We start from the raw sequence: 23,149 nt of genomic DNA, 5'->3' as shown, positions 1-23,149 counted from the left end.
AATTCATAAGCGCTTCTGTAACGTCAGTGGGACACAGCGCAGCCCCATGCCAAAGTCTCAGCGCATTTTCGGGTGAATTTTGAGCGAGGTGAAGGAGGCCTTGGGTTCCCGGAGTCGCTGGAGGACGCGCGTCGGGCCCCGCCCAGTTATTTCGCTGCAAGAGGGAAAAGGCACGAGCGTGGACACGGCTAAGTAGACTCGGAGGCCGGAGATCGGTCCTAACCGGGCCTCGAAGTTCCTACCGCGGACGAACTTTGCTCTTCGCGGCCGTCCCGCGTCGCACCCGGGGAAAAGCAACACAACTTGCTGCGCGGGCTGAGAGCCCGAAGCCCGCCGCACGCCGCAATGCTCCGCGCTCCCCGCGGGGTCGGGCGACTCAGACAGGGACCGGAAAAGAACCACGCAGAAGAAAGCCCTATTTCTTGTCGTCTGTTCCTGTGCAGCCTTGCAGCCTCGCCGCCCCCGCGTCGCTCGCTCTCGCGACCCTGTGAACACTTTGAAAAACAAGAGTCGGGGGAAGCAACGGGCTAAGCGCTGCTATTTGGGGCACTAAAAGGAAGCCGGCCAGAGGTGGCGGGTTCATGCGTCCCCCGAGACCCAGGCCGCGTCGGGGGCCAAGAGCCCTTACAGCCTTCTCCCGCGCCGTCGGGAGGTCCTCCCGGAACTGGGCCGGAGCGCAGAGAACGCAGTGTGAGAAGGGCCCATGGGTTTTAGGTCACCTCCTTCGCGCTGGACGCGGGCAGAGCGGTGTCCCTTTCTGTCTCTGCCAAGAGACGTGGAGGGAGGGAGAAGGGAGGATGGCTTGTGCTGAAAGAAACAAGAATGAAGTCGGGCAGCCGGGATCTGAGAAATGGGAAATCCATGGCCCTTGTTCGGGACCACAGGCTTTGCCGACGTGGTCTCTCCTAGTTCCGAAATTGCCCAGGCCCGCCTCCCCACCCTCTGCAAGCAGCGGGAACGACTTCCACATCGCTTAATTTCTTTATTAAACTTTTCACCTATTCTCTTCTAAAGGACAGACTACAGCGTCAGATGGTAAAAATGTTTTCCGCGCCTTGTCTTGCCGTACGGAAACCGCCGGCCTGGGAGGACAAGCCGAGTTCTTGTTTTGCCGAGAGCAAAACTCTAGGCTCCCACTTCCTTCTCCCAGTCCGTGCGTTTCCTTGCAGAGCCCCAGAGCGTCTGATTCACTGAAATAGCATCACTTGCTGAACCAAACCTTTTTTCCCGCTCGCGGAAAGAGTGGAGCTTTTTTCTTTTGTCTAAGGGTGTTTGCTTTTTTTTTTTTCTTTCACTCGGCACCACAGTTTTTCTAAATCACTGGGAATGTGAGTCACCGCTAACAGCAGGAGACCTTTGGCGGCACCCGGCTGTGGGGCGCGCTCGCAGCGGGGAGCCCACCCTGATTGTCTAGGGGATCCGGCACTGAAGTTGGGAGAGGTTGCAGTCAGGCCAGGCTGGGTTTCAGGGAAAGGGCACAGGGATCCAGCGCACCAGGCGACCGTCTGGATCTCTTTCCTAGCAGCCAGCCGCGCACCTCGCCAGCCTCGGCGGGACCTCCGCTTTGCCACCAAAATCCCCGAGAGTGGCGGCCCAGCGGGTGCCAGCCCCCGGCCTCGGCCACAGCTCTGGGCGTCGGTGGAGCGAGCGTCGTGGCAGCTGCTGGCGGGCCACCACACTTCCCGCCACACCCGTTAGAGCTTGGCTCCCAGCTTGGGCCGCCGGGAGCGCGCCTCTTCCCGTGGCCGCGGCTGCAGCGGTGCAGGGTAGAAAGCCCACGCGGCCCGCGGGTTGGAGATTCCGGCGATTGGTGCGTGGAGGTAGGTGTGTGGAATGTTAAAGGTCGAGATCACCCTCCGGGCATCATCCTTCACCGAGTCGCACAAATCCAGCAACTGCAAAACACAACACAATGGGACAGGTCAGATGTTGGCACACTTACAGCCATCTAGTGACAGCAGCTTTCAGCCCACCAAGCACCCGCACACACAGCGGCCCCGGAAACTAGTTTCCCTTTGGATTCTCCTGTGGAAACTGTTGGCCATGAATAACCCTCGGAAGCCTTTTTTGTTTTAGACATTCCCAACTCTGACACCTAGCCCAGTGGAAACCCCGGCTTTTCCCGTAAGGGGGTGGGCGTGGACGTGGGGTCGGTCGGCTTTGCCCCCAAATTAGCCGGGAACTCGAGACCAAGGTCTGAGAATTTATTAAAGCTCCCTCCTTGGTCCTTCCTCCCTGGTCCTTCCCTCCGCTCCTCTCTCTTTGCCTCCCCTGTCGTCCCCTCCTCTCCACCTCTGGAGTGCCTGGGGTGCCACCCTCTGGCGCGCAGAGGGAACTGAACAGGAAGAGCCTCCGAACAGGTGAACCACTAGAGACCTGCTCCAGTCTCCCCAGACTAGCGCCTTCGGTCCTGACCTGGCTGGCAGTAGGCCATGATTCTTGAAATTCAGTACAGTGAGACGGCGGACCAATGCTAGGCATCTTCCGCCTGGCCGCTGCGGAAAATCCATCTGCTGTTAACGCCAATGCCAAGGAACGCCGCGGATGCCCTTGGTTCTGGCAGCCACTGGAAGGCAGGGATAAGACATTCCCGGCGGATAGGAGAGGGAGATGCAAGTCAGTGTTTTGGAAGCTGCACTGGTGTATTTTTATTTCATTTTCCATGGCTTAGGTGCCAATGTATTTTTTTTTTTATTTTCAGGAAAAAAAGCTACCAAACTAATAAGATTGTTTTTCTAAAACTACACAAGGGCAGAGGGACGGCTTTCTTTTCTTCTGATCTACACATTGTACTCCATTTTTCAAGTTTTCGGCCAGTGGTAAATTTGTTTCACTCCCCAAATCACAGTAAATCCCCAGGTTTTCATGGTTTATTTTTACAGGTTTAACAACATCACTTACACCAGCCCCACCTTTGCCCTCACATGGTGGTCATGTCTGAGCCGCACTGATGTTGTTAAGATCACAGTTTCCCTTGCAGCAGTCCAAAACGCCATTTCAGGTTTTCAGAGCATTTCAGGTTTTCAGTGAGGTCCCAAGGAGGAAGGTGGAGGAAATAGGGGATGGGGAATATAGAGGGTAGGGATATGGTGGGGGAAGAGCATGAATTGTAATAGTCCAACAATACATCTTCCCTGAAAATGTGCTCTATTACACCAGTAATTTCTAATGAAAAACTTCATTCTTCACACACTGTGGTTAAGCATCATCAAATCAGTACTGAAAAGACCTTTGATCGTATTTGCAAGATGCACTAAAATGAACTTTCACTGACCAAGATTTCAAAGTTTGTAATTAATACTCTTGAAAAATCCCTGACTAATCTGTCAACTCTCAACGTCTTTAACCACACAGTTCAAAACCATGAGGTGGCGTACACAGCCCCTAAACTTTCCACATATTGTCATATGATTATTCAAGATAATTTTCCCTTTGGGTTTGCATTATGAAACTCAACCAACTTTGGTAATATATTCACCGGTGGGGGAAATACAATGATTTGAATGAGTGTAAAATAGAGTATGGGTTTTATCTATCTGGTGCCAAAAACAGAACGTAGGGCCAGAGGTAGGAATTAAATGAGGCAGATTTCAATATAAAGAAAATTTTAAAAAAATAAACTTGAAAAGGAACCCAATGGCTGGTGAAAAGGAGGGTTTCTTCACTCATAAGTGTTCAGGGAGTGTGCCCTCCAATGGCACCCTAGAGAAGAAAAATGAACTGGCTGTGAAGAGGAGTTGACTGCCAAGATTCTTTCTAAATCTAAAGTTCTGGAGCAGTTTAAAATACTCCTTCTAGCCTTCTCCATTTTTCCTAGACTGCAACAGAAACCTCAGAATGATTATTGTCTCAATGGACGGATCCGGCATCATTCCTGTTAGTTATTGTTTGACTCTTAGTTATTGTTTGACTCTGATTCCAGGTACCCACCCACCTCTGTTCCTGGCTGTCAAGATGATAATAATAATTACCATCCTTTCACTCACAAATGGTATGCTGGATTCCTACCCAGTGTTAGGTACAATTCTGGACTTTAGAGGTTTAATGGTACACACTACAGGAACAGGTCTCACATCGTGAAGCTGTTGAGGCGTTTTAAAAATTTTTAAAAATATATGATCTCTTTAATACAAAATAAACTTGAGAAGATAATATAGCATTGATTATTACACAGTTACAGTATTTTTATTACCAGGGGGTATTTTTATATGGGGCTAAGCAGTGTATTATTAAAGTTTAGTTTTGTTACCAAACATGCTTCCATACTATAAGCATAAAAATTGCACATAGTGTAGGGGTCCTCTGCCCTGCCAGTTTATGACCCATTTATGCTGGACAAAGTACTTCAAGCTTACCCATATCTTTACAAAGAAAATTCACCAGCTTTTGAAAAAGACAAATGAATAGGTATACTTTAAAAATAAAAAAGTATGAACAAGTTATAGGTTCTTGCAAAAACATTTTTTAAGGTCAAACCTAAACATGGGCACTATTGCTCTACAAGCAATAAGAATGTACAGTCCACTGGAAATAGCCAGTGAGTGGAATTTGAGAATATCTGCTTTAAAGAAAGCAGAAGCACTCAGCCCTCAAGGGATGACACTGTGTTTGACTATATTAATATGTATATTTGGGAGTGAGGGAAAAATTGTAACATCAGTTTGGCTTCCCACCTCCATCTAGTTGCAGTACTCAATTTATTTTTCTGCTCTTTTTGACTCTCCCTACAGTTTCCTTATTTCAGTTGGGAGAGTAGGATGGCCAAGGATGGGCAGTGACTAAGCTTTGCAGTCCTCTGAACAAACCATATTTTCCCAGCATGGCATGGTGTTAGTCCTATAATAGATGTTCAGGGTGGGAAGTGCCCAGTACACTTGGAGGGACACCCCAGCTATTCCTAGGACTCCATGCAGAAGGTTTTCCTGCCTCTTCCCATATGTCTCACCCCTGTTCTCAGCATAAGATGACCACATGCTGTTTTTTGTGAAAAATCCCTTACCCAAACTTGAAATGTCCCTTCATTAGCCCCTTTCGTCTGGCTACCTTGGTAGAGTCTTTTTCTCCATCCCTTTAATCTGGGCTGAGTTATGACTTGCTTTGCCAGTAGAATATGGGGAACATGTCACTGTGTGATTTCCAGAGTTTAGGCCTTAAGAAGCTTTGAATCCCCCATTATCACTCTCCTATAACCGTGAGAATACCTGCTGTGCAGAAGCCCAGTCTAGCCTGCTGGAGGACAAAAGGCCACGTAGAGATGGACCAAGGTGCCTTGGCCAACAGCCAGCACCCACTGCCAGATATGAGAGAGAGGCCATCTTGGACATCCTAGTCCTGTTGAACTCAGATGACTGCAGCCACAGGAGTGATCCCAGGTAAGACTAGCCAAAGAACTGTCCAGGCTGCCTGCCCACAGAATAAGTATCAGTCATTATCACCGGTTAATGCACAGAAATAGAAATTTTTAACCTGACTAAGCAAAACAACAAATAAACTTACTTGCTATAAGGAATCAATTCCACCTCCTTTCCAAAAAGAATCTCTATGCAGCCAACTCTTACTTTCTAAGGGATTGTTAGATATTGGTGAGCCATTAATGTAATTTCCTGTCCATTATTTTTCAGTTGACTTCATTTTAGGTTAACTAGATTTTGAGCTAGAAACTTTACAGGAAGGGGAACCTTAATTAATGAACAAACATCTTTTAATCTAAAAGATGTGATGAGGGAATAAGATTAAAGTGGTTGGTAAAATGAGGTTCTGTGCTACTTGTGGCTGTCATTTATCACCTTTGCTTCTGCTGTGACACATAACTGGCATTCTGGCAGGTGCCTCTGGCCACCTTTATTCCATGCTTGTCTCGTGCAACCCTAGTCCCCAATCAACAATTCATAGCTTGTTACTCCAGCCTTTGCCAAGGATCCATCTCTGCTGTGCAGTATCTATGCTTTCCACATTCCATCCCGGAGGGCCAGGCAGGTAAAGGCATGAAGTACAGAAGGGAGCTACTTAGCTGTCTTTGACTTAGTCTGCTCTATCTCCAGCATCTTTATAACAATGCTATGTGGCAACATATGGCACTTTACATATGTAACCAAGGTCTTCGGTGTTCTGCCCCATGCTGACATTTCCTGGACAACTACTGTGTGCCAGATTACAGAGGAGGGCTTTAGGTTCACTGTCTTATTCAGTACTCATAACAACTCTATCAGGTATCAACCCATTTTACAGATGAGAAAACCAAGGCTTAAAGAATTTAAGTCACATAACTTGTAACTGATGCAACTAGAGTTTTAATCCAGGGCTTTTTTTTTCTAAAGCCTTGTCTACCCTTTTGCCTTCATCTTTTCCCCCAGTGCCTCACTGCTTCCAGTTGCTGGAGGATATGTGGTGCTGCACTGACAAATGCCTCCACCACTGTGGCAGACGTGTGACCCTTGACGTTCTTCCTAAGTCAGAATCTGTATTCTGTGTGTGCCTAGTGTGGAGAACATGGATCTGCCCAGCCACACTGGCTCAGATTCTCTGAGAGGACCAGGGCAGTAATGGTGCCCAGGAGTACTCTATGATGTTGCCACCGGAGGAAGGTGCCAAGGATATCGGCTTCAGAGCCAGCTACCATGTGAAAAGTCCAGCTTGATGACCTAGAAGGACCTTTACCTGCAGAAGGACAAGGCTTCAACTCTGTTCTGCAGATTCTCCTTCAGTAAATTGGGAGTGCCCTTCCACACTGGTCAACAGGCCCCTCCCTGCTGCTTTGGATCACCACCTTAAGTCAAACACAATTCAAGTGCCTTCAAAAGAGCAGCACATGGACTGGCAAATCGTGACTGGTGAAAATGGGCACAATCAAGTAGTTAACCTGCACCTATTCTCACTTTTTGCAGACTTCCAAACTCGCTGAATGCACAGAGGCCTTGGCCTGGCTTATCTCCTCCTCGCTCACTTATCCTGAAGAATTGCTTTCCCTTTAGACAAACATTCTGTAAAGGATCAGATGGTAGGTCTGTGGCAGCTAATTTCCCATCTTAGTCCTTATGCCTGACTAAGCAGTCAATGAAAGAAAAATAAACCTGAAACACTCACACGAGGCATAATCTCATAGCGTGTGCTGTGATTCTACTTCTCTCAATTTACCCAACAACTACTAGAAAGGGGAGCTCCATTCCTGTTTTCATTGCCCACTGGCTGGCTCCTCCAGGGAGGGTCAGACCTTAGCTTGGTGCGTCTCCTGGTCCCAGGAACACATACATTCTCATTGGTTTTCTCTGCAACCAAGTTTCATTAGCATAAAATGACATTCCACAGGTCTATTAAATAATCAGGACTCCAGCTAATATTTTCTCTGAATCAATTTAAATTATATTTTATGTTGATTTGTTCCTTCAGTTGATAAACAATATTTAGCATAATCTGAAATGTTAGAATAGAGAAATTGCCTTCCTTACCAAACAACAACAAAATCACTTTTGTTTACCCTCACTAAATAATTAAACTTGAAGAAAATTTACCTTTAAAATGTCCTTTCTACTGCAATTTTCTTCAACTAAAGAGTACACAATTTGGCTGTTTACTAAGTATTTTGACAATGTCCACTTTGGTAGAGAAAAAGGGCTTTGAACTCTGACATTGCCACTTCCAAGCCATACTACCTTCCTTATCTCTAAGATGGAAGGATTTAGTAAACTTGGCGCAGGTTGATTATTTATAAATATTATTGTTATTATCATGGGTTCTCTAGTTAGTAATAAATACAATTTCTTTCTAACTCTGGTATTTCCATGACAAAGTTTGCTTAATCATCATTACCTAAAACAAGAATGCTGAGACAGAGGCATCAACATTAACCACTTAATAAGAACTTCTGACATTTATTCATACTGCTACTGATTCATAAGAGGAAAAGTTTAAAAAGAAGACAAGTGCATATACCTTTCCCTTTAGAATACAGGAAACCATATAAATGTTTTGGCAATGGGATTAAAGTAACCACAATGCTGCTCATAGTAGCATTTTCTACAGACAAAGGCATTTACATGAAACAAGAAAGAATATTCAATTAGGTAGTTGTAATAAAGCTGGAGTATTAGCTGCACACTTCTCATATAAAAAATATGGCATCACAGTGGCTCATGCCTGTAATTTCAGCATTTTGGGAGGCCGAGGTGGGTGGATTGCTTGAGCTCAGGAGTTCCAGACAAGTCTGGGCAACATGGTGAAACCCCATCTCTACAAAAAATACAAAAATTAGCCGAGAGTGGTGGCTCATGCCTATAGTCCTAGCTATGCGGGAGGCTGACGTGGGTGGATTGCTTGAGCCCAGGAGGTGGAGGTTGCAGAAAGCCAAGATCATGCCACTGCACTCCAACCTGGGTGACAGAGTGAGATCCTGTTTAAAAAAAATAAATAAATAAAATAAATTAAAAAAACTTAATCAACTGATAGTTTAGTTTTGTAAGTACAAACCCAAAGAAATGCAAACATACTCAAGAAGGAATAATCTTCAGTCAAAAATTTTCAAGAGGCAAAATCCCCACAAACTGCCAAAACTAAAAATACAATAAGAGTCCAAAGTTATTATGGAGAAATTCTGTGTAAGTGGGTCCTGGAATATTCAACTTCATTGTCCCAAATGATCTGAAAATCAACTGGGAGGGCTCCTAGTTAAAATGTAGATAGATTCAAGAGAATTTTGCTCCATGGTTACAAACTGAAGAATCTGAACAAAGTAAAAATCAGATGTTTTATGGGGCTACTGAAAAGCACTATACATAAGAAAGTAACGTTAATGAAGTGATTTCAGAGAGATGAGCTCTTTCTTGGTAAGCCAACATCCACAGAAGCTTCCACACATGGGGTAGGTGCCTGTTTTGGGGACAGGTGGACAGAAGACTGGGCCTAACAGAGATGGAGAGACTTTGAAGGGATGAGAAAAATGGCCAGATGGACTGGAATTGGGAAGAACTCCTAGCACAGAAACAAACACTTGGCCTAGCGATTCTTACCCTCAACCCAGAATTTTGCTATGAAAGCAGCAGTTCATGGAAACTGAAAAGCAGAGGAAATTTGCATGGTCCCATGTATCCTTGTGGTGCATAGACTTTGGAGCTGCGCTGGAGTTCAACCCAAAGGTGAATCAAAGATATCTGAAACTGTAGTTCACCATTTTCACAGCTCAAACTCTGAAAGAATAAAGACGGTAGTGTGATGGGGTGGGTGGACTAAGCACAGTGAACTCAGTCTAAGTAAAGCAGCTCCTGCTCAACCTGACTCTAGGAGGAATCTTAATGACTAGACCCTGACCCTAACCACCAGACAAAAGAAAGGAAAATAAACAAAAGAAAGTAAAATCTGTTATAGACAATGTTTGAAGTACAATAATAAGTTATTAGACCTGCAAAGAAGCAGGAAAATGTGACCCCAAATCTAAAGAAAGCACAATCAGTAGCCGACTTAGAGATGACCAGTTACCGGAATTAATGGACAAAGATTTAAAAACAACTATTATAAATGTGTTCAAGAATTTACAAGGAGAAGGCCAGGCACGGTGGCTCATGCTTGTAATTCCACACTTTGGGAAGCTGAGGCGGGTGGATTGCTTGAAGCCGGGAGTTCGAGACCAGCCTGGCCAACATAGTGAAACCCTGTCTCTACTAAAAATACAAAAATTAGCCAGGCATGGTGGTGCATGTCTGTAATCCCAGCTACTTGGGAGGCTGAGACACAAGAATTGCTTGAACCTGGGAGGCAGAAGTTGCAGTGAGCCAAGATCATGCCACTGCACTCCAGCCTGGGTGAAAGAGCGAGACTCTGTCTCAAAAAAAAAAAAAAAAAAAAAAAAATAGAAGGAGAAAAATGGATATAATAGATTAATATGGGATATTTTCTGAGATAAATGTAACTCCTAAGAAAGAATGAAAGGAAAATTCTAGATCTGAAAAAATGGGATATTTGAGATAAAAATTCACTAATGAGTTTAACAGCAGAGTGAGTATTGCGGAACAAAAATCAATAATCTTGAAAACAGATTCATAGAAATTATTCCAAATGGGGCAAAGAGAAAAAAAAATGAACAGGCCATCAGTACCATGTGGGAATATATTGGCAATCCAACATACATGCCATTGGAATCTCAGAAGTCAGAAAGAATGAGACATAAAATACTTGAAGATGTAATGGTTGAAATGTTTCTAAATTTGATATAATAAAACATCTTCCACAAAAATATTCCTGACAATCTTATTCATAACATCAGTCCATAAACACCTTAAATGTCCATTAATAGGAGAATAAACATTTTTTTCAATACAAACTGTGTTAATGAAAGAAAAAAGAAGTGAGTCTTAAGTCTTCAGTTATTTTTTCTTCCCACAGATGAGTATAAGTAACACTGCACCTTAATACCTATGGAATGATGCAGCTGAGGTCAGCTGGAGGTAACAAGGCCAGTTCCTGGAGACTCTGATTAGGTGAGTTCTAGAGAGATGAGCATTTGGGAGGACAGATGGGCTGAGCCGATACAATGAAATACTACTCAGCAAAAATAAACAAATTAATTTAAAAAAGGAATGAATCATCAAATATCTCAGAAACATTATACTGAGCAAAAGAAACCTACATCTATCTGCTTCCATTCCTACGAAGCTCTGGAGCAGGCAAACTGAGCTCTTATAATAAAGTTAGAAACTCAGGGGTCAGGGTGAGGAATTGATGGAAAAGTGTCTGAGAGAAATTTATTGGGTGATGGACACTTTCTTTAACATGACTGAGATCTGCATTATACAGTCTGCTATTTGTCAAAACTCGCTGAACTGCACCATTAAGATTTGTGCGCTTCGGCCGGGCATGGTGGCTCACGCCAGTAATCCCAGCACTTTGGAAGGCCAAGGCGGGCGGTATCACCTGAGGTCGGGACGAGACCAGCCTGACCAATATGGAGAAACCCTGTCTCTACTAAAAATACAAAAATTAGCCAGGCGTGGTGGCACATGCCTGTAATCCTCGCTACTTGGGAGGCTGAGGCAGGAGAATCGCTTGAACCTGGGAGGCAGAGGTTGAGGTGAGCCAAGATTGTGCCATTGCACTCCAGCCTCGGCAGCAAGAGTGAAACTCTGTCTCCAAAAAAAAAAAAAAAAAAAAAAAGATTCATGCACTTCAATGTATATAAATAGACCTCTATTTTTAAAATTAAAAGAAAAATAAAGGGAAACAAAGCAATTTGGGGGGAACCAACATGAGATTGCCAACTTATCTCTTTTGTCAAGTAAGGATAACAAAAAAGAACTGTCTATGATTATTATTTTATTTAAAGGGTAACTTTCAGCACCTAAAATATAGGGAGAATATAATAATATAATCTCTTAAAGAAAACTTATCTTGCATTATGAAAAACCCGATACATTTTATTTCCCTAATTTTGCCATAGAAAGGTCAACTCTTTCCCTAGGAAAATTACTGGCTTAGACTCATAGGAATCAAGATTGAATGGTTCTCAAGCCAGCAAAGATTAGAAAGGATTGTCTACATAAAGTCAAGTAAGTACTGCTGCTGGAAGAAACAGTTAAAGGCAGACTTCTTATGAGGACAGAGGGATTGGGGTGGTTCTAATCAAATGGGGCTCAAAAAATTGAAGTTCCATGGAGAACACTGATCTGGGCCCAAACGAACTCAGAAAGCTCTCCAGTCCTTTCAGATACCATTTTCTCTTCTCAAAAACTGTAGTCAAAGGCCGGGCGTGGTGACTCACGCCTGTAATCCTAACACTTTGGGAAGCCAAGGCGGGCAGATCACATGAGATCGGGAGTTCAAGACCAGCGTGACCAACATGGAGAAACCCTGTCTCTACTAAAAATACAAAATTAGCTGGGCGTGGAGGCACATGCCTGTAATCCCAGCTACTTGGGAGACTGAGGCAAGAGAATCACTTGAATCCAGGAGGCAGAGGTTGTGGTAAGCCGAGATCGTGCCATTGCACTCCAGCCTGGGCAACAAGAGCAAAAACTCCATCTCAAAAAACAACAACAACAAAAACCAAAAAAACCAACAACAACAACAACAAAAAAAACTATAGTTAAAGTCACTTCTAAGAAGATGGATATGTTTTTCCCTATTTCTCCTACTAAGTACAACTGAATCCTTGGATATTATATGTAAAACAAATCTTAGAAGATTCTGAGAGGTGAAGAGAAATCAGGCTATCTAGGAAGCATAGGATTCAAGGAATGACACAGTGGTGAATTCCTTGCATTTTCTTTTTGCCTCATGTATCCCACACTGGAGCTAAAAAAAGCTGGCAACCTGGAACCACCAACAGACGTACACAAAAATCCTAACAAAAGCCTAGTTTGAACAAACTGTGCATTCCATGCCCCCAACCTCTGCCATAGTTCTAAAGGCTAAATGGGGGAGCTTGCTCTTACAGCCACAACACGCTATAGTGAGGTACCCACCATGGTGTCAGCGGAGACCACATGGGGAGCTGGTACCTCCACCTCAACCTGGAAGTAGAGAGGCATCCTTCCTTTTACCAGATGGGGTGCTGTCAGAGAAGGCCTAGTGGGAGTCAAGACTTAGTCATCACATGGCGGTAACAGAGTCACTGCCAGTGTGAGTAAAGGCCCTTTAGGGAACCGTAATGTGGCTTTCCTGCCCTCCCCATCAGTGAGATGTCAGTGGAGGCCTAGTTAGTAACTAAAACTCCCACTTCCACCCAGAAATAACAAGGAGTCCCCAGCCCTTTGGATGTCAACAGAGACTAAGTAGAGAACCTAGACTACTATCCCTATAAGGCAGTAATGAGGCGATGCACCCCCTTTTCCCCACTGGAACAGTGTTAGAGGAAACCAGCTAAAACAGAAGATTTAAGTAAGATCCAGAGTTTTATAATTTAATAGCCAAGATGTTCATGTTTCGATCAAAAGTCACTTCCTATCAAGAACCAGGAAGATGTCAAACTGGGTGAAAAAAGACAATCAATAGATGTCAATGCCAACATGACAGAGATAGTGGGATTATCTGACAAAGTTTTTAAAGCAGTCATTATAAAACTGTTTCAATGAGCAATTATAAACACACTTGAAATCAATGAAAAAAAAAAGTTTCAGCAAAGAAACAGAAAATCTTAGCAATGGAAAAGTAGATACAAAGGAGCCCAAATAGAAATTATAGAACTGAAAAGTACAATGACCCAAATTAAAAACTCAGTGGATGGTTTTGACAGCAAAATGGAGGGGACAGTGGAAGGAATTGGTGAACTGAAAGATGGCACAATAAAATTACTGAACCTCAATAATAGACAGAAAATGGACTGAATATATAATGAACAGAGGGTCAGGAACGTGTGTAATTATTTTTAAAAAATGATTTAACCTAAGTGTCATCAGTGTTCTGAAAAGAGAAGAGGAAGTGGGCTGGGCAGAAAAGTACTTGAAAAATTGGCTGAAAACTCCCCAGATTTGGCAAAAGAGATAAAGCAACAAATTCACGAAGCTGAGCCCACCCCAAACAGCATAAATCCAAAGAAATTTATTCAAAGGCACATCATAAATAGCATCATAAATAGTTTTTAATCTTAAAAGCAGAGAAAGAGAAATGACATTTTACTTACAAGGGAGAAAAAAACAATTGGCAGCAGATTTTCATTAGAAACTATGAAAGCCAGAAATGTGTTCAGGTGCTAAAAGAAAAGAATTGTCAACACAGACAGTGAAATACTGTCTCTATTTGCAGATAACATGTTTGTCTATATGGCAAATTCCAAGGAATCTATAAGAACTTCTAGATTCAACAAGTTGAGCAAGATCGTAGGATAAAAGATAACATATAAAATATATGTTGATAAAACATATAAAATATATAAAACATATAAAAATAGTTTTATTTCCATATAATAGTAATGGATATGCAGACACTAAAATTAAATATGCAATACCATTTACAATCATAGATGTAATCCAACAAAGCATGTAGAAGACTAGGACTTGTGTGCTGAACACAGTAAAATGCTGACGAAATAAATCAGTGTAGATCTCTATAAGTAGAGAGACATACCATATTCAGAGACTGGAAGATTCAGCACAGTAAGATGAAATTTCTCCTCAAATTAACTTACAGGTTTAATGCAATACCTATCAAAATCCCAGAAAGATTTGTTGTAAATATAGGCAAGATTATCCTAAAATTTCTATAAAAAGGCAAAGGAATTAGAATAGCTAAAGTGATTTTGTAAAATAATAAAGAGGTGGAATCAAACTACCATATTTTAAGACTTATGTAACTATATTAATTAAGACCATGTGGTATTGGTGAAGGGATAGACACACAGATGCATAGATAAAGTAGGAAAATGCAGAAATAGAACCATACAAATACGACCAACTAATTTTTAAAGGTGTTAAGGCAATTTAACATGGGAAATATAGCCTTTTCAACTACTAGTATTGGAGCAATTGGACATTGGTACACAAAAAAACCAACAAGCAAAAAGGAATCTCAACCTAAGTTTCCTACCTTATATAAAAAGTAACTAAAAATGGATCATGGCTCAATGAAAAATGTAAAAGTATAAAATTTTTAGATAAAGCCCATAGGATAATACCTTCAGGATCTAGGAATAGGTGAAAAGTTTTTAGACTTGACAGTAAAAGTACATTACAGTCCATAAAAGGAAAAATGGATAAATTAGACTTTATTAAATTAAAAACTTTTGCTCTATTGAAGACCATATTAAAAGAGTAAGAAGGCAAGCTATAAATTAGGAGAAAATATTTGCAAGCTACATATCTGACAAAGGACTAGTATCTAGAACATATAAACAGTTTAAAAAAATAACAATCCAATTAGAAATGGGCAAATGAAGTGAACAAACTTTTCAACAAAGAGAACATACAGATGGCAAATAAGCATATGAAAAGATACTCAACATCATTAGCCATTAAGTAAATGCAAACTAAAGCTACAATGAAATATACTACATACATATCAGAATGGTTAACATAGAAAGTAATGACAACACCCAATGCTAGTGAGGATGTGAAGAGACTGGATCACTTCTACACTGATTGTGGGAATGTAAAATGTTACAGCCACTCTAAAAAAAAGTTTGGTAATTTCTTAAAAATGTCAACATGCACCTACCGTGCGACCCAGCAATGGAACCCCTGAACATCTACTACAGAGAAATTAAAACCTATATTCACACAAAATCCTGTATGGGAAAATGAAATTTATTTTATTTATTCTATTCCTAAATGTCAGAAGCTGAAAACAATCCACATATCCTTCAATGTGTGAGTGGTTCAACAAACTGCAGTCCATGTGTAGTGTGGAATACTACTTAGCGATAAAAAGGAAGAGACCATTGATATGTGCGACCACCTGGATGAATCTTCAGAAAATTATGCTCGGTGAAAAAAGCCAATTCCAAAGGTTGCATATTATGTGATTTCATTTATACAACGTTCCTGAAATGACAAAATTATAAACATGGAGAACAGCTTAGTAGTCACCTGGGATTAAAGAGAGGGTAAAGGAAGGGAAGAGGGTGTGGCTATAGGAGCCACAAGTGGTGACAAAAATGCTCTGTATCTTCACTGTATCAATGTCATTGTATCAAAATCCTGGGTGTGATATTGTAAAGCTATAGTTGTACAAGATGTTGCCAATGGGGGAAACTAAGTAAAGGGACATGAAATCTCTGCATTATTGTGAATTTATGGTTCTCTTAAAAAAGACCTTCATTAAAAAAAAAATCACAGAATAACTTTCAAGTTAGATTTTAACAAAAATGTTTTATATAAGCACCAGGAGATTATTTTTTGTTTCCTTTTATGCTTTTTAGGTGAAGCATAATAGGTATATAGCAGCTTGCTAAATTATCACAAAAGGAACTCACTCATGGAACCGTTATGCAGATTAATAGGACACCTGCATCCCCAAAGTCCCGAAAAAGTCATACACCTGAACTGGACATTTTTACTTATGTTGTCTCAGCAATAGCCAATTAGGTTAATGGAATCAATGCCTAGCGGTTCAAGGCCACAATCTGTGATGTGAATGACTAGCTGTCCAGGAAAGGAAGATGCAAAGAGTCCTTAATTTCCTTCCACAGATGTATCGGCTCTCACAAGTTAAGTCCTGTCCCTTCTCTGTGTCTTAAAATGCGGTCACCCCTACATGCTTTTTTATTTTTATTTTATTTATTTATTTTTTAATTTTTTTTGAGACACAGTCTAGCTCTGTCTCCCAGGCTGGAGTGCAGTGGCACAATCTTGGCTCACTGCAACCCCCATTTCCCAGGTTCAAGTGATTCTCATGCCTCAGCCTCCCTAGTAACTGGGATTACAGGCGCATGCCACCACGCCTGGCTAATTTTTCATGTTTTCTTCAGTAGAGATGGGGTTTTACCATGTTGGCCAGGCTGGTCTTGAACTCCTGGCCTCAAGTGATCCGCCCTCCTCAGCCTCCCAAAGGGCTGGGATTACAGGCGTGAGCCACAGCGCTTGGCCCCTATGTGCTATCTTTTAATGGTTACTAAGTACCAAACACTTTGAGTCCCCCAGAGAAGGGAAGAGAAGTGAAATGGAACAGGCCACAGCAATGTCTCGTCTGTAAAATCAAAGGGAAAAGGTAACTTACCATCAGAAAAAAGAAAAGCAACTACAAACACATTTTACACTATAAAAATTATTGATTTCTAGCTAGAATATCAATTTATACAAAAATGGATATACTGGGGTCATTTCTGTTTCAAGTTCAGTAATTTATTTAAATTCCCTGGAATCATAATAAAATCCACTATCCTTAACTGCATTACTGGAGTCTGATTGGACTCAGATGAGTCTCATCTCCTGAGAGGTCTTTTTTTTTTGTGCAACATGGCTATTCTTAGGTACAAGTTTCACCAGTCAGAAATTCTCACTGTGCATCCTGGACCGAGGGTATGAACCCAAAGACACTCACGGAGAAGGGCACCCAATTTCCCAGCACTTTAAGCATCTCCCCAAGGAGACCAGGACAATGCAGCTGCCAGAGAAACTCAGAGGCTGGAGCTCAGCAAAACAATTTGCCCTCTCTTGTGCTTATTAGTTACCCTTGAATGAAGAAAATAGAATGATCCCAGCTCAGTCTCCAGATACACAAAGCTGTACTGTGAGGCATAGCATGAGAGTGGACCAGGTGGCTGCCATGAGGAAACAGGGATTGCAGCAGGGTGACCTCAGGGTCCCTTTTACTGGCCAAACTGAAGAAACCAAATCCCATTTAGATTTTCTTAACCTGACTTGAATGGTCTGCATTTATAGGTTCAGCAATGTATTTTATACCACTGAGGAGCATGCAAGGTCAGGAGCAGATGGAAGGGGGAAGGGAAAAGAGAGATTTTCTCGTCTCTTAGCAGGACACTGTTTGTACTCATATTTTCCCTATTTCCCTGTTTTAGAGTCTTTTGCACTGGGAGGAGAAGGTGGAACAGGAGACACCCACATTCTAGTTGGTCCCTGCTGTCTCCAAGAGGTGGTGAACCAGGAGTCCTACAGATGTGAAGCTAGGTTAAAACCAGTTCTGGGGATGCTTTCAAATCAAAGAGGATTTAAAAATGTGACTCCCAGTTGCATTTCCGGTATGATCACTCCATTTCAATGTCATTTCAATAACATCCTCAACTCACTGACCACAGCCAGGGGCTGTCCCTTCCCACCCTGGCAGAGTAGGTCCCTGTGCTTACACCTCATGCCAGCTTCAGTCAGGATGACACAGCCAGGGGTTCTCACTGCCTTGAAGCCAAATCAGATGGGCCTTACTGGATGGGGTGGGTGGGGTGAATGGAGTGGAGGTGAGGGAAACAGTTTTTTTTTTTTTTCCCTCAAATTCATTACAGAGAAAAACAGAAGTCTATGGGTAGGAGGTGAGTGACCGAGAAACCCCATCTCTCTTCCCCACTCCAATGAATGCTTTCAATATGCTGTGCCTAAACCTTAGTTCATGTTACATTCAATTCTAGCGTCTGAATGTGTCTCTTGATCCAGGTGGTCTGGGGAATGAGAAATAGAAGGATGGGAAATCTGAGTGTTCATTAAAAAGAAACATTCAATGTGGCATGGAAAACAACCAACACCGCATTTGTAGGAAGTTCAGGGCACATGTACTGTTTCTAAGCCCGGCGGGTATGGGTGTGGGCTATCTGTTTTTCTTGAAGTTCAGATTTGAGAAGGGCTATATCCCAGCACCATCTTTCCAGCTTAGAACTCTCTCCTAATTTTTTTTTGTGTGTTCTTTAATCACAAGCCTTTGTGACACTAAGCAGTGACTGCATTTATACTTTATGCTTAGATTAAAATAGTAAACGAGTGTAATCCATCTTCTACGTTCAAAGGAGCCAAGCAGCATCCTGGCTTGGGGGCCTGGTGTCTACCACACTTCTGCGCATTCTTCCTCCAAGCCACATCTCCTGAGAATAAAGCAAGATGCCATTGGCAATGTCTACTCAGAACTACTTGAATGACTCATCAATCAACAGGCTTGAATGCTCTTCTTCCTCTATGATTCAACGGTTTGATTGACTGAACTGAAACTAAAACCCAACCCTAGTGGTCATTTTAGACTTGAGCAGATACAGTCAGAATCTCAATCACATGTCATCAGCAGGCCCTCCTTGGCCTCCTTATTGCAGCTGGGCTCCTGAGCAGCTCTCCCTCACTCAGGGAGGAAACGAATGGCTCCTTTCAGTAGGGCAGACGAAGGCTGCTGGCTGATGCAACTGCTCCTGTGTCCACTTCCCAGCAAGGGTGCAAAACAGGATTTGTGCTTGTGCTGGTGAATCTGGGCTTCACCTAGCAAATCAGGGGGACACCAAAATGAAAACAGCCCTAGAGGCATGGAGAAAGCCTCAGGTGCACTAAGGTGCCAACAGAAACGATGCATCTCAGAGTTGACAGTCATGACTCAAATAGGACGTGAAGGCAACATGTGGGTGAGAGTAGCAGCTATGGGTGTAAATATGATCAAATATGGGGGAGGTGTCCAGATTTCTTGGACATGGTTACAATCAGTATTTATTTTCTCTCTTAGTGAACGAGTTTTTGGTTTTTCAATACTGCTAATTTTACAGGCAATTCACTACGTTCCCTGGGAGGTGGAGTGGCCTTCCTCCCTGCTGTGCGTGGGTTACACAGCCTGCCTCACTTCCCTGTGGGTCCTTCATCACCTGCATGCTCACATGATTCCATTATTTGAGCTCATGGCAGGAAATAGAACCTGATTCAACATTTTGCTAAGTATTATTTTCACCACACTGAATAGGGTCCTTTTTTGATCTGCAACCCACAGCTGGGCTGTGGTTCTCTCAACACAGGTAGACTGAAAAGCTTCCTCCTGCATTGATTTCTCAGCATGGGCTGACCACATGTTCACAAGTACTTGTTCTTTTCCATACGTCCCAATGCAGGCAGGCACTGGCAGAGCAGGACAGCTGTGTCCAGGAGTTCAGGGAACAAAATAAGGCTACTGTAACTTCAGTCAACTTCAAGGCACGGTGTAAAATAAAGTAAGAGATTATCAGTCAAATAGCCATTTGCATTAAAATTCTCCACTTTAAGAAGCTGAGATCTTTGCTTTATTTTTTAAAAAGCAAAATGAAGTCAGTTTTAATGGAGATATACAATTGTTAACTGTTGGGTCATTTTGAAAGGCTTTCTTCCTTAAAATGAGTCTCAGCTGATAGCTACTCACTAATGCTGATAATTATCTGAAGCAAAATAAATACAAATGTCTGGGTTAATGAAGACTGAAACAGGATAATGCCTGGACACTAAATTTTCCAAGAACAAGGAACACAATTGTTCTCTACATACCCCTGCAAAAATGCTTAATGGCCAGGACACAGGAATCTTGTGTACTTAGAGACCTTGTTAGGATGGAGCCCCGGGGGCACCACCACTGGCCTTCGAGCCAAGGTCTCACAGAGAGGGCAGCAAGGGGGAGCAGCTCATCCTCCTCCCCAGCTAGGGAGACACTAGGACAGCAGTGGAGTGGAGTCCGAAATCTGCCATAGAAGCCCCAGCTTACTATTTGCTCACTGAGCAGCAAGTCAACCTCAGTTTCTCTGTGCCTACAGGGGAGTAACAGCTGTTCACACTAAAGGGTGCTTGTGAGGATGATATAAGAATGAATATGGACCTGCTCTGACAACACTGAAGTTCCAGACAAAAGAATAGGCATTAGTTATCTGATTTGAAGGACTGTGGGGGATTGGAATTTTAAAAATAAACCTCAACCCAACTCCTTCTCTTGTGGGGCCTCGGTTGAACAACTGGGCACTTGCACTGCCTTCTGAATATGTGGATGGATTTTGCCTGCTTTGGAGAAGCATATGAACTCCTCAGGGCATCTAGTGCCCTAGAGTGTGCCAAAGGAACAAGGAGGACTACAAATGGGTGATGCCTGGAGCTTAACCCACCTCCATTTGGGATTCGGAGCTCTGGTTTCTGTGTTCAGCTAGAATCTTCGACAGTCATTTAATGTCTCTCTTTCTTAGTTTTACTCATTTGTTGAATGGGGATTATATTAGCCTTACTTTCCTTGAAGGTCTTAATGAGAATGAAATGAGATAATTTTTAAGTATATATATGCATTTCTAATTTCCATCAGACTGGAGCGTCGGTATAAGTCCTGGGTGTTCTGGAAAGTTTTATTTATTTAGAAACAGTTTAGGCTGATTGCTATCTCCCTATGCTAACTTTTTGTTTTTTTAGTAAACTTTTTATTTTGGAATACTTTCAAATTTACAGAAAAGTTTCAAAGATAACAAGAGTTCTCATTTGCCCTTCACCCAGTTTCCCCATAACTATGGCTCATTGTAAAAACTAGGAAACCAATATTAATGCATTACTAATAACTATAGACTTTATTCAGATTTTACCAGTTTTTCTACTCATGTTCTTCTGTCCCAGGATTCAATACATGATACTGCATTGTATTTAGTTACCATATCTCCTGAGTCTCTTCTGCTCTGTGATGGCTTCAGTCTTTTCTCGTCTTCCATGCATCGTCAGTTTTAATGGGTACTAGGCAGGTATTATGGACAAGCTTGGCAAATCCACAGCCCATGGGCCACATGAGGCCCAGGATAACTTTGAATGTGGCCCAGTACAAATTCATAAACTTTTTAAAAAACATTATGAGATGTTTTTGTGATTTTTGTTTTTTTTAGCTCGTCAGCTGTCACTAGTGTTAGTGTATTTTATGTGGGGCCCAAGACAACTCTTCTTCCAATGTGGCCCAGGGAGGCCAAAAGATTAGACACCCCTGAATTGTAGACCGTTCCTCCATTTTGTTTTGTCTGATGTGTTTTCTCACGCTTAGATTTGGGTTATGGGTTTCAGGGAAGAGGGAAGTGTTCTTTTCATCATATCACACCACAGAGTACATGCTATCAACATGATGTTATCACTGGTGATATGTACCTTAATCATTTGATATGTACCTTAATCACTTGGTTAGGATCTACCAGGTTTCTCCATTGTAAAATAAGTATTTCTCTCTTCCATAATCTATTCTTTAAAATAAAAGCAAGTTGCTAAAGTCCAACCCACACTAAAGAGAAGGGGAATTAAGCTTTACCTCCTGGAGGGAGGAATACCTACAAATATTATTTGGGATTCTTCTGCAAGGAAGATGTGTCTTTCCCCCATTTATTTATTTGCTTAATCATTTATTCATATCATTATGGACTTGGGCTTAATTACTATATACTTGGAGTTATAACCCAATATTACATTATTTTTGTTGCTCAAATTGTTCCAGCCTTGGTCACTGGGAAGGAGCTCTCTCAGTTGGCTCCTTCCTGTGTCCCTGGAACATACTGCCATCATCACAAGCTTTTGTTTGTTTGTTTTTCAAGGACTTTCTTACTTTCTGACACCAGAACATGCTCCAGGCTCATCTTGTGCATTCACTGGCCAGCCCTAAAATCAGCTATTTCTCCAAGGACCCTGGTTCCTTTTATTGGAGGACGGTGCTAGAAATCAAGAACTGGGTGCTGGATGTGGTTGTTGTTCTGATGGTGATTTTTATCCAGATAAAATAAATGAAAATGTTTGCAGTCAGAGAGATAGGAGTTTTTGCTAGCTGTGTTACTTTGAGTGAGTTACTTGGCCACTTTGGGCCTCAGTTTTCTCATCTCTGTGTAAGAGTAATGAAAATTTTTCACCGGGTTGTTGTGGGGTCATATAGAATAACAATGAAGCAACTTTCTATTTCTGAGAACAGGGGGCTAGATTTTTTTTTCCAACTTTTCTGCAGAAAACAACCAAAATATTTGAAGAAAATACAGAAAACATCTTCAAAGCATCAATGATCTGACAAAACAATAAAGCCAAAATTTATAGGAAAATGGGAACCCAGAGAAATAAACAAGTCAGAAAATTGCATTTTCCCTGAAGGTGTTTGCCATTTCCAGAAAATCTGAATTTTCACTGACAGCTTGATGGTGGTCAGGCAGGTGACAGGAGGTAATAATAGTAAAAAATCAGGGTCAGCACTAAGCAAGAAATTTGACAGCAGATCCTCACCGTGACAAGCTGGGATGTCAAAGAGCTATATCCACAGGGGGAGGGTAAAAACATTGCTACCCTTATTGTGAGTATCTGAGTCTTCCAGAAAAGCCCAAGCCTTGAATTTGGTTTAAGGTAGGTGTCAAACTGAGAGTGTTTTCAGAGGCCTTTCAAAGGAAAATTACCTTCGATTAGGACTTCATGTACATCTTACACATTATTTCTCAAAACAAATGACCAACACACAATAAAAGACAACCAGACACACAGAAGAAACAAGACACAAAAATAAATAGACTTGTAAAGATTTTAAGGTATCGGAATTATTAGCTACAGACTATAAAACAGCTAAGTTTCAACGTATAAAAAATAAAATACAATATTGAATATATCTTTGGGGAACAGGAAACGAAAAAGTGACATGCATGATATAAAAACAAATTTTTGCCTGTAATCCCAGCACTTTGAGAGGCTGAGGGGGGCAGATCACGAGGTCAGGAGTTCAAGACCAGCCTGGTCAACATGGTGAAACCCCGTCTCTACTAAAAATACAAAAATTAGCTAGGCGTGGTGGCACGTGCCTATAATCCCAGGTACTTGGGAGG

General features: G+C 42.1%; 1 protein-coding gene and 1 long non-coding RNA gene across 21 annotated transcripts in view, besides 1 other annotated feature; one reads left to right on the top strand and one right to left on the bottom strand.

Annotated features, from left to right (window-relative positions):
- ACOXL (acyl-CoA oxidase like) overlaps positions 963–23,149 on the bottom strand; it is a 385,976-nt gene continuing 363,789 nt past the window's right edge. For 14 of the 20 annotated variants that reach the window (NM_001437600.1, XM_011511414.4, NM_001142807.4 and 11 more), the window contains one exon: positions 963–1,895. In NM_001437600.1, coding sequence (NP_001424529.1) covers positions 1,695–1,895 — 201 coding nt within the window. In that variant the 3' untranslated portion in view covers positions 963–1,694. Of the gene's footprint in view, positions 5,404–13,543; positions 15,459–23,149 lie in introns of those variants that run through there. The other 6 variants (XM_011511415.3, XM_011511421.3, XM_047444906.1 and 3 more) reach the window with 4 other exon arrangements.
- Positions 3,923–21,170, top strand: ACOXL-AS1 (ACOXL antisense RNA 1). Its single transcript, NR_122074.1, has 4 exons — positions 3,923–3,991; positions 5,213–5,372; positions 17,435–17,614; positions 18,368–21,170. It is a non-coding gene; the product is annotated as an ACOXL antisense RNA 1 (long non-coding RNA).
- Positions 18,359–18,408: an enhancer, noted in NCBI's record as "active region_16380". NCBI's record gives its function as "activates an Ori minimal core promoter by ATAC-STARR-seq in GM12878 lymphoblastoid cells {active_cell/tissue: GM12878}" and the evidence as "EXISTENCE:reporter gene assay evidence [ECO:0000049][PMID:35858748]".

Source organism: Homo sapiens, chromosome 2 (assembly GCF_000001405.40).
Source record: "Homo sapiens chromosome 2, GRCh38.p14 Primary Assembly".
In the NCBI taxonomy this organism is placed as follows: domain Eukaryota; kingdom Metazoa; phylum Chordata; class Mammalia; order Primates; family Hominidae; genus Homo; species Homo sapiens.
This window is presented reverse-complemented; position numbering and strand designations above follow the sequence as displayed.